General features: G+C 35.0%; 3 annotated features.

Annotated features, from left to right (window-relative positions):
* Positions 1737 to 2519: an enhancer, noted in NCBI's record as "OCT4-NANOG hESC enhancer chr9:12440846-12441628 (GRCh37/hg19 assembly coordinates)". NCBI's record gives its function as "activates a minimal SCP1, AML or CMV promoter by ChIP-STARR-seq in naive and primed H9 embryonic stem cells {active_cell/tissue: H9 hESC(naive and primed)}" and the evidence as "EXISTENCE:reporter gene assay evidence [ECO:0000049][PMID:30033119]".
* Positions 3734 to 4234: an enhancer, noted in NCBI's record as "H3K27ac hESC enhancer chr9:12439131-12439631 (GRCh37/hg19 assembly coordinates)". NCBI's record gives its function as "activates a minimal SCP1, AML or CMV promoter by ChIP-STARR-seq in naive H9 embryonic stem cells {active_cell/tissue: H9 hESC(naive)}" and the evidence as "EXISTENCE:reporter gene assay evidence [ECO:0000049][PMID:30033119]".
* Positions 4235 to 4735: an enhancer, noted in NCBI's record as "H3K27ac hESC enhancer chr9:12438630-12439130 (GRCh37/hg19 assembly coordinates)". NCBI's record gives its function as "activates a minimal SCP1, AML or CMV promoter by ChIP-STARR-seq in naive H9 embryonic stem cells {active_cell/tissue: H9 hESC(naive)}" and the evidence as "EXISTENCE:reporter gene assay evidence [ECO:0000049][PMID:30033119]".

Genomic DNA, 12440 nt, shown 5'->3' with positions numbered 1-12440 from the left:
TTATGTGAAAATTATAACTAGCTGTAGCACTTAATGCAACTTTTTATTAATCCTATCTGAATGTGCTTAAACTTTCAATTTTCTCTAAGGAGGCTATTTCCTCTAGTTAAAGCTCAAGCCAGGGTATTAGTTTTTGTCAGAAATTTCTGGGTTTTAGGCTGAAATGTGTTTCTTTTTCTTAAGAAAATAGAGGCTTGGAAAAGACTCTGCTTAGAACTTTATTGCACTTTTTTAAAAATGATAACCAGTGAGGAAATGTCACAGTGAATAAGAAGAGAATAAATAAAGATTTTTAAAGTCTCTTGAAGGCTCAGAAGATTAGGATCATTATGAATCTAATAATTCTCTCCTGATTGGCAACAATGACCACATCAATAACAATGAGAACAGAATGATATTTTCATACAATCATTGCAGACGCAGCTGAGAAAGCTATATGCCACATTCTTGGAGGTTTCAATCATTTATGAACACCCTGGATCAAATGAAAAAAAATCTCATTTGATCCTAGACAAACTGTAAAGTTGACTAGAAAGAGTGGTAATGGGAGAATGGTAAGTCATTTAGGAGAAAAGAGAAAAGTTGACTAGAAAGAGTGGTAAAGGGAGAATGGTAAGCTGTTTGAAATAAAAGGAGAAATATGTATATAAGAAAGCCCTTTGTAAATGATAAATTAATAACACCTTGATAACTTTATTTGTATTCTATATGTGGGTAGAGACAAATGAAATAATAAAATAATGCTAATACCTTAATGAAACATTATAAAAATATATAAAATACAGTTTAAACATGAGTAGATGTAATTCAAGATTTAGAAGTGTTTTTTGATCTCAAACTTAACAATATTTTTCAAGGCAACATATTTTAAAATAAATATTGCCGAGCAACGTTATTTTAATTGCATGTTTTTGCCTCATTTTTGATAGCTGATTTTTTTTCGTGTTTTACTTAATTAAACACATTAAGCTAAACAGGAATAAAAAATCTTACCACATACTTGTGGAAGCCAGAATTACATTTAATGGGATTTCTCCTTTTGAAATGTGAAATAAAGAGATGTAAAGCAAAATCAGAAAACAATTCAGGGAAAATTTAGAATTATATTCTCTCCTCAATTCAGATACATGTATCTGTATCTGAACATAAATGTACCTTATGTACACATGCCTAATGTTCATACTTATCTGAAAATTTAAATACATGAACTATATCATATTATTATGTTTACAATATTGATCCAGAAATATTAATAGTATGGGTTTTCTCATGACAGAAAATAACCTTTTTTACTTAACTATTAACTTTAAACCTTTGTTTTAACCTTGTAGGTCACTTACTTACTTCATCAATACTGTAAATACCTAGCGACTAATGAGAGGGAAGATATGAAATCCTTTTTTTAAAAAATTTTACCTCAAGTTTTTACAAATTTTAAAATACTTTATACTAATAATATTTATCGCTGAACTTCTTCTTTTCCTTCCAGACCAAATGAGGAGATAATAGACATCAAATAGAATAGAATTCACTCCTATGTGGTAACCATGGTAGAATTTTATATTTCTGGATTGCCAACCAAATCAGCTTTGATATTTGCCCTCCAGAGTGAGGACACTGACTTCAAAGTCTATTTCTAGACTTACAGTACATGATGTTCATTCTTGCCAGTGAGTTATAGAAGCCAGCTGGCAGTATAAGCCCTAGAATATGGCATTCATCCTCAAAGAATAACAAAAAGAGAAAAAGGACATTTAGGCTGTGTAAGCCAGCTAGTATGTAGAAGTAGACTATACTCTGGTTTGGAAGATTAATGTAGAGGGAAAACCCAGCACCACCTCATCCAGCTACCAAGAGCAACCACAGTTTTACTTTTTCTGTTTTGAGTTTTTGCTTACAAAGCTATTCTACAAAGAAATAAGATATATTAGCTAATTAGTCTTATTACTTTTTGTCAGGCCTCTGAGCCCAAGCCAAGCCAGTGCATCCCCTGTGACTTGCACGTATACGCCCAGGTGGCCTGAAGTAACTGAAGAATCACAAAAGAAGTGAAAATGCCCTGCCCCACCTTAACTGATGATATTCCACCACAAAAGAAGTGAATATGGCCGGTCCTTGCCTTAATTGATGACATTCCACCATAAAAGAAGTGAAAATGGCCGGTCCTTGTCTTAAGTGATGACATTATCTTGTGAAAGTCCTTTTCCTGGCTCATCCTGGCTCAAAAAGCTCCCCCACTGAGCACCTTGCGACCCCCACTCCTGCCCGCCAGAGAACAAATCCCTTTTGACCATAATTTTCCTTTATCTACCCAAATCCTATAAAACAGTCCCACCCTTATCTCCCTTCGCTGACTCTCTTTTCGGACTCAGCCCGCCCGCACCCAGGTGATTAAAAAGCTTTATTGCTCACACACAGCCTGTTTGGTGGTCTCTTCACACGGACGCGCGTGAAACTTTTTATGCATATAAAAACATGAATGAATTATAAAAACATAAGATGGAAATGAAAAGAGCCATGACCAAAAAATATGACACAAAGATTAAATCAATTTTTATTAAGTACAAATAGAGAAAAAAATTAATACTTACCAATGCATACCTAGGTTGTAAAAGTAAGAGTGAACAGTTACCATAGCTGTGAAAATACTGGTTATCTCTAGTTGGGCGGGTATAGTAAGGTACTCTCAAATTTTGGGCCCTGTGACCTGAAAAAAAATCTGCTAACTTATATTTAGAAATACAGTATTGATATTCCAATGACTATACTTCATTTACCTATTGGCCCAATGCATATATATACATATTTATAATTAAGTTATATATTATGCTTATTTATAGGAAACACATTAGAAAAGAAGAGATGGACAATCATGATGTTAGTAAAGCCTGCATAAATTAAATTTTAATCAATTTTCTATGGGGAAAATCTTGATTTATACAATTTAGAGCTTTAACTGTTCATAGCTTGTAGTCATCAATATATGTATAAAAGTTTTTTAGATGATGAACAATGCTTTTTCTATAAATTTTCAAAGCATAACTGGTATTACCTATTGACAATCAGAGAAAGTGAGGCAAAGCAAGCAGGTGATTTTTATCACCAAGGGCAAACTAGATGTTGTCACTACCAGGAATATTGCTAATTAAAATTTTAAATTACTCAGACTTGACCATTCATGTATTCCTATCCTTCTGCACCACCATTACTTACTCTACTGATTAGATATCCAAATTGCTTTGCTCTACACGACTGCTTATAATTTCTTTTAAAATATTTCTAATAATTTATAATTTATCTCAAAACTTCCATTTGTATATACTTAACATTTTTGTTACTATCTGATTATAAAAGCTTACTGTTGGATGTAAGTGGCCAATAATTAACTTCTTCATTGCTTCTGCTTTAATATTCTCGGTTTCTTATTGTGTGACCTACCATCTGCCCTGCATTTAAAAATATTAGCTCTTCCACATTTTAGACAAATTCAAACACAAAGAAAGGATTACAAACTGTGCTAAGCTGACATGTGTCTAAATCTGGTAGTAATTTTCTATAGAAAATTAATATCTCTGGATATATTAATAAATATTCTCTAAAATAAAAAATATCAAAGTAAAATTAGTCAAATACAAAGTGACATATTAAAATATAAATAGATAATAAAATATCCAGAATCATCTATTAAAAATCACTGAATGATCCTTGGGACTAACATAAGGAGCTGCCTAGAGATTGCACAGAGACATTGCCCCAGAAAGGGAACTCATGCGGAGTCCCACAGGAATCTGAGCCAGGAGCAGCTTTGGCTTGGCACCATTCTGAGAGCCTAGCTCCTGGAGGTCTATGTCCTGCCATAAGGCCAGACTGACATGGCTTTTGTCACTGCCAGCGACTAGGTCAAGGAAGAGAGGGGAAACAGGCATTCCCACACACCCCTTGGACAAATACCAGTGCCCTGCTACAGGCTGCTGTGAAACCTAGGAATGAGCAGACTGCACTCCCTCAGCTACTTTCTCACACTGCTCCAGCTGACAGGGGCCCTGCCCTCCCTGGTAGTAGGTCCATAGCATAGCCACCACGGCACATACCTGAGCATTCCAAAGGCGGCCTGGGGATGACCATCTCTGCCTATCATAAATGGTGCCTGAACAGACTGCCAAGGGACCTCAGGATATGTCTGCTGGTCCAGTTTCATCCGCTCAGGACTCAAGTATGCCATCAGAGGCCTAGGAATTGCCCAGCCCATTTCTCCACTGTTGGCATCCGATCACTCCTACTGAGATCTGAAGTCAAGCCAACCCAACCTACTGACACCACCACAGCTGATAGCCACCCACATGTGCTACCAGCCTGCCAGGGTAATGACTTGCTCAAACTGTTGCATTAACCACCAACATCAGCACGGACTGCCTGGGTTCAGGTAGGTTGTTCCACTACCACTACTGCCAACACTCACAACACACAAACTGCACAGAAGCCTGAGAACCCACCAACATACTCAGCCCACCACTCCCTCTATGAACATCCAAACCAGCCACCTGAAGGCCCAAGAATTGACCCTCTAGGACCTACTAACACAATGCCAGCGTAAGTCGGTCTGGGGCCAAAAAACAGGCATACATAGCCAATGACTACTACCTCTGGAACCAAAGACTGACCGTGCTGGCATATTAGTCTCCAGGAAACATCATCACAGCCTCCACTAATAACTGCACCCTAAATAACCAAGGAAATCACAGATACCACTGATGCTGTGTAATGCTGAAAAAAATCATACAGAGGTCGTGCTACTGAGGCACCCAAAATCACATCCAAGCACCCTACACAAATAGCAATATATATACAACTTAAAGAAAAAATCCTCTCCTGTGAAAACAATTTCAAAGAATTATATGAAGCAACTGTTACACCATACGCACAATACCAACATAAAGACACAGGAAACATGAAAAAGCCAGAAAATATGACACAAACAAAGGAACAACAAATCTCCAGCAAGAAATCACAATAAAAAAATAAATTAATAATATCTCAAATCAAGAATTATAAATACCGATTTTAAGATTATGAAATCAAGGTACACAAATCAGTAGCACTGCTATACACCAACAATGACAAAGCTGAGAATTTAATCAAGAACTCAATTCCAAACAATGAGAACACTTGGACACAGGGCGGGGAACATCACACATGGGGGCCTGTTGGGGGGTGGGACTGCTGAAAGAAATAATAGATAATACAAAGAAATGAAAATATTCCCATGCTTATGGATCAGAAGAACCAAAATGGTCATTAAAGTGACCTTACTGCTCAAAGCAATCTACAGATTCAATGCGATTCATATCAAAACACCAGCATCATATTACATAGAATTAAAAAAAATCCTACCATTTATATGGAACCAAGAAAGAGCCCAAATAGCCAAAGCAATCCTAAGCAAAAAGAATATCTGTAGGCATCATATTACCTGACTTCACATTATACTATGAGGCTACAATAACCAAAACAGCATGGTGCTGGTATAAAAGGTGACACAATGACCAACGGAACAGAATAGAGAACCCAGAAATAGAGCCCAATAGTTACAACCAACTGATCTTTAACAAAGCATACAAAAGTACACATTGGGAAAAGGACACCCTACTTAATAAATGATGCTAGGAAAACTGGATAGCCACATATAGAAGAATAAAACTGGATCCCTATTTCTCACCATATGCAAAAACTAACTCAAGATGGATTAATGACTTAGATTTAAGACCTGAACGTATACAAATTCTACGAGAAGAAGAAGAAAAAAAAACTTCTGGGCATTGGTGTATGCAAGGAATTTATGAGTAAGCCCCTAAAAACAAATGAAACAAAAACAAAAATAAATGAATGGGACTTAAACTAAAAAGCTTCTGCACTGCAAAAAAATCATAAGAGTGAGCATATGACCTATAGAATGGGAAAAAATGTTTCCAAATTATGCTCCTGTATAGGACTAATATCTAGAATTTACAAGAAACTGAAAAAACTCAATAGAAAATAATAATCTCATTAAAAAGTAGGCAAGAAACATGAATAGATATTTCTCAAAGAAGATATACAAACGGCTGACAAACATATGAAAAAATGTTCAACATCACTAGTCATCAGGTAAATGCTCATTTAAACTGCAACAAGGCATCACCTTACCCCAGCCAGAATGACCATAATTAAAAAGTCAAAAAACGACAGATATTGGCATGGATGTGTTGAAAAAGGAATGCTTATATGCTTCTGGTGGAAATGTAAATTAGTACAACTTCTATGGAAAAAAAAAATGGTATGGACATTTTGCAAAGAACTAAAACTAAATCTACCATTCAATCTGGCAGTCACATTACTGGGTATCTACTGAAAAGAAAAGAAGTCACTCTATGAAAAAGACACCTGCATGCATATGTTAGTCACGTCACAACACACAATTGTAAATATATGGAATCAACCTGATAAGTGGAAAAAGAAAATGTGATTTTATATATATATGCATACACACACACACACACACACACACCATGGAATACTACTACTACTGCTACTACACACACACACACAAACACCATGGACTACTACTCAGCCATAAAAAAGTATAAAACAATATTTTTGCAGCAACTTGTATGGAACTGAAGAATATTATTCTAAGTGAAATAACTCAGATATCTAAAAACAAATACCACATGTTCTCACTTGTAAGTGGGAGCTAAGCTATCAGTCCACAAAAACATACAGAGTGGTAAAATGAACATCAAAGACTCAGAAGAAGCCATGGTGGCTTACACCTGTAAGTCCAGCACTTTTGGAGCCTAAGGTGGACATACCACTTGAGGTCAGGATTTCGAGAACAGCCTGGGTAGCATGGTGAAATTCCGTCTCTACTAAAAATACAAAACTTAGCTGGGCATGGCGGTGCATATCTGTAGTCCCAGCTACTCAGGAGGCTGAGGCATGAGAATCACTTGAACCCAGGAGGCGGATGTTGCAGTGAGCCGAGATCATGCCACCGCACTCCAGCCTGGGTAACAGAGCAAGACCCTGTCTCAAAAACAAACAAACAAACAAACAAAAGACTCAGAAGGGGGAAGGGTTGGAAGAGCCATAAGGGATGCGAAACTACCTATTGGGTACAATGTCCACTACTCAGGTGGTGAGTACACTAAAATTCTAGACTTCACAACAGTACAATTCATCTAGTAATCAAAAACCACTTATAGCCCTAAAGCTATTCAAATAGAAAAAAATTAATACTTATAAGGAAACCTAAGGAAATAGAAGAGAATGCTAAAAAATAACACAAAAATAAAAAAAGGATATAAATGAGAAATTTACCAAATAGATCATTTAAAAAAATCAAATATAAATTATTGGGATGAAGAATTTATTGAAAGAAATACAAAATACATTTGAAAGCTTCTACAATCAACTAAATTAAGCAGAAGTAAGACTCTCAGAGCTTGAAGACAGGTTTTTGAAATAATCCAGTCAGACATAAATAAAAAAAGGAGAATTAAAACATGAGCAAAGCCTTTGTAAAATTTGGTACATCATAAAGTGACCAAATGTAAAAATTATCAGTATCCCCAAGGATGAAGAGAAAATAAAGGGATTAGGGAAGCTATTTAATAAAGTAATAGATGAAAACATCTCAAATCTAAAAAGAGATTTAATATTTGAATACAGAAGGCTCAATGATCCCCAGGCAAATACAATGTAAAAAAAAGTCACCTCCAGAAAACTTTATAATCACTGTCTAAATTCAAAAACAAAAAGTGATTCCTAAACATGGCAAGTGAAAAGTGCCTAATCACCTGAAAAGAAAAACCTGACAAACTACCAGCAAATTTCTCAGCAGAAACCTTACAAGCCAGAAGAGAATAGAATGATACATTCAAAGTGCTGAAAGAAAAACAAAACAAAACAAAAACAAAACTGTCAAGCAAGTATATACATCCAGCAAAATTAACCTTAATAAATGAAGGAGAAATAATGTTCTTTTCCAGACAAGCAGATGATGACAGAATTTTTCACCACTATGTCAGCCCTACAAGAAATGTTTTAGAGTCTTAAACTTGTAAGCAAAAGGTGGATATTTACCATCATGAAAACATATGGAAGCATAAATCTCACTGGTAAGACAATCACATAAAGGAGGAAACAAAAGGATTCCAGTAGTGCCACTGTAGAAATTTACCAAAACACAATGATAAACAATAAGAGAAAAAGAAAGAAAGAAAGAATGTATACAACAACCAGAAGACAGTCAACAATATGACAGGGACAAACCCTCACATATCAATAATAACCTTGAATGTAAACAGACTAAATTCTGCACTTAAAAGATATAGAATGGCTGAATAAATTTAAAAATGTAATCCTTTTACATGCTGCTGAGAAGAAACTCACCTTAAAATGAAGATACATATAAACTGAAAGGAAAATGATGGAAAAGGTTATTCCATGCAAACAGAAACTAAAAGTGAGAAGGAGTAGCTATACTCATATAGAATAAAACAGACTTAAATCAAGAACAGCAAAGTAAGACAAAGAAGGTCATTACATAATGACAAAGGTAATAATCCATCAAGAGAATATAACAATTCCAAATATATATGCACCCAACAAACTGGACCATTCAGCTTTATTAAGCAACTATTACTATTATAGATCAAAAGAGACAGACAAACTGCAATACAATTATAGTGGGAGACTTTCACACATCACTATGGTGATACATTACTCAGGTACATTGTACCAAAGAATCATAATGTGTGGAAGTCTCCCAAAATTATAGTGGGAGACTTATGTAATTATCGTGGGAACTATAATTGTGGGAGACTTCCACATATCATATTTCTTTGTTGATCCCACAATTATAGTTTCCACTGTAATTAATTACATGAGTCTCCCACTATATACATAAAATCAACAAAGGAGCATTTGATTTAAACTGGATGTTAGATTAAATGGAATTAATAGACATTTACAGAACATTTTATCCAAGAACTGCAGAATATGCATTATTTTCATTAGTACATGCAACATTCTCCAGGATAGACTATTATATTAGGCGACACAAGTCTCAACAATTTTTTAAAATCATAATATCAAATATCTTCTCAGACAACAAAGGAATAAGACTAAAAATGAACACCAAGAGGAACTCTGGAAACTATACAAATGCATGAAAATTAAATAACAAAATGCTGAATGACCACTGGGTCAATGAAGAAATTAAATAAAAATGTTTAAAACATATTCTTGAAAGAAAAATTGAAACAAAATATACTGAAAGCTATAGGATACAGCAAAAGTGGTTCCAAGAGGAAAGTTTACAGCTATAAATGCCTACATCAAAAGAGCAGAAAAATTACAAATTAACAATCTAACACTGTAACTCAAGGAAATAGAAACAAGAACAAATTAAACCCCAGATTTGTGGAGAAAGGTAATAAGAGAGATCAGAGCAGAACTAAGTGTAGTAAAACCTAAGAATATACACAGTACAATAAAATATAAAGCTGGTTATTTGAAAAGATAAACAAAATTGTTAAGTCACTAGCTAGACTAACCAAGAAGAGAGAAGATTCAGATAAACAAAATCAGAAATAAAAAAGGATACATTACAACTGGTACTACAGAAAGATAAAAGATCATAAGAGACTATTAAGAACAACTATATGCTAACAAACTGGAATGTATGTAAAAATTGATAAGTTTATGGAAACATATAAGCTACCAAGACTGAATTAATAATAAATAGAAAATCAGAACAGAGCAATAAAAAATGGTGAGAGTGATTAAATATTAAAAAGCCTCCCTACAAAGAAAAACCCAGGACCTGAGAGATGCATGGCCAAATCCTACCAAATGTACTAAGAAATATTAATACAGTACTTCTATATCTATTTCAAAAAAAAAAAAATGAAGAGAAGAAAATCCTATCTAACTCATTCTATGAGGCCAGTATCTTCCTGATGCCATAGCCATTCAAGGACACAACAACAACAACAAAACTGTAGGCCAATATCCCTAATGAACGTAGATGCAAAAATCCTCAACCAAATACTAGAAAACTATTTTTAACTGCACATCAAAAAGACAGTATAGCATGATCAAATGGAATTTATATCACAGATACAAGGATGGTTCAACACGCACAAATTAATATATGTGAGACATCACAGAACAGAATGAAGGGCAAAAACCATATGACCATCTCAATAGATACAGAAAAAGCATTTTATGAAGTTCTACATTTCTTCATGATAAAACTCTCAACAAACTAGGCATAAAAGAAACATATTTCAGCTGGGCGCAGTGGCTCACGCCTGTAATCCCAGCTCTTTGGGAGGCCGAGATGGGCGAATCACGAGGTCAGGATATCGAGACCATCCTGGCTAACACAGTGAAACCCCATCTCTACCAAAAATACACAAAAATTAGCTGGGCGCGATGGCGGGCTAATAGTCCCAGATATTTGGGAGGTTGAGGCAGGAGAATGGCGTGAACACGGGATGTGGAGCTGGCAGTGAGCCGAGATCACGCCACGGCACTCCAGATTGGGTGACAGAGCAAGACTCTATCTCGAAAAAAAGAAACATATTTCAACCCAATAAAGGCCATATATGACACAACCATACCTAACATTATACTGAATAATAAAAAGTTAAAATCCTTTCCTCCAAGAACTGGAACAAGATAAGAATGCCCACTTTCAACAGTCTTATTCAGCATAGTACTGAAAGTTTTAGCAAGATAAATCAGGCAAAAGAAAGAAATAAAAGGCATCCAAGTTGAAAATGAGAAAGTCACATTGCCCCTGTTCATTATGATATAATCTTATATCTAGAAAAACCTAGACTTCACCAAAAATCTCTAAGATTTGATAAATGCATTCAGTAAAGTAGTATGTTATAAAATCAACATGCAGAAATCAGTAGTGCTTCTATACACTAATAATAACTTAGCAAAAAGAAAGAAAGAAAGAAAAAGTTTTTACCACTTACAATAGCTACCAAAAATAAAATCACCCTAGAAATATATTTAACCAAGGAGAAGGAGGATATCTACAAGGAAAACTTCAAATAGAAAAACATCCCATGCTCATGGATGGGAAGAATCAATATTATTAAAATGATCATATTGCCCAGAGCAATCTACAGATTCAAAGCAATTCCTATCAAATTACCAACATAATTTTTCATAGAATTAGAAAAAACAATCCCAAAATTCATATGGAATCCAAAAAGATACTGGATAGCCAAAACAATCCTGAGCAAAAGAATAAAACTTAAGGCATCACATTACCTAACTTCAAAATATGTAACAATACTATAATAACCCAAGCAGCATGATATTTATATAAAAATAGACACATAGACCAATGGGACAGAATAGAAAACCCAGCAGTAAAGCCACATACTTACGGCCAACTGATCCTTGACAAAGCCAACAAGAACTTACACTGGGGAAAGGACACCCTATTCAATAAACGATGTTGGAAAACTTGGATAGCCACATATAAAAGAATGAAACTAGATCCCTATTTCTCACCATATAAAAAAGTCAAATCAAGAAGGAATAAAGACTTAAATGTAGGACCCAAAACTATGAAAACACTATAATAATACTGTAATTAGTCAGTTTTCACATTGCTATAAAGAACTACCTAAGAGTGTGTCATTTATAAAGAAAAGCGTTTTAATTTACTCACAGTTCCACATGGCTGAGGAGGCCTCAGGAAACTTACAATCATGGTGGAAGGTGAAGAAGAAGCAATCATCCTCTTACATGGCAGCACGAGGAGAAAGATTAAGGAAGTGACAAACTTTTGAACCATCAGATCTCATGAGAACTCACTCACTACCATGAGAACAGCATGGGGAAAACTGCTCCATGGTCCAATCACCTTCCACCAGGTCCCTTTCTCGACATGTGGGGATTACAGTTCAAGATGAGATTTGGGTGGGGATGCAGAGCCAAATCATATCAAATACCTAGAGAAAACTCTCTTGGAGAGTAGTCTAGGCAAATAACCCATGATTGGGTCCTCAAAAGCATAAGCAACAAAAACAAAAATAGATAAATTGAACTCTGTTAAACTAAAAACTTTCTGCACAGCAAAAGAAATAACCAACAGAATGAAGAGGCAACCTCTTTAATGGAATAATATATTTGGAAACTATTCATCTGACAGGGGACTAATATACAGAATATACAATGAACTCAAACAACACAACAGGAAAAAAAAACACAGCAATAAATAGCCTCACTAAAAAGTGAGCAAAGGTAATAAGTAGGCATTTCTCAAAAAACAACAACAACAAAATAAACAAATAAAAAAACATACAAACGGCCAGCAGGTATGTGTAAAAATGCTCAACCTCACTAATCATCAGAGAAACACAAATCAA

The sequence above is a fragment of the Homo sapiens genome, chromosome 9 (assembly GCF_000001405.40).
Source record: "Homo sapiens chromosome 9, GRCh38.p14 Primary Assembly".
Taxonomy (NCBI): domain Eukaryota; kingdom Metazoa; phylum Chordata; class Mammalia; order Primates; family Hominidae; genus Homo; species Homo sapiens.
This window is presented reverse-complemented; position numbering and strand designations above follow the sequence as displayed.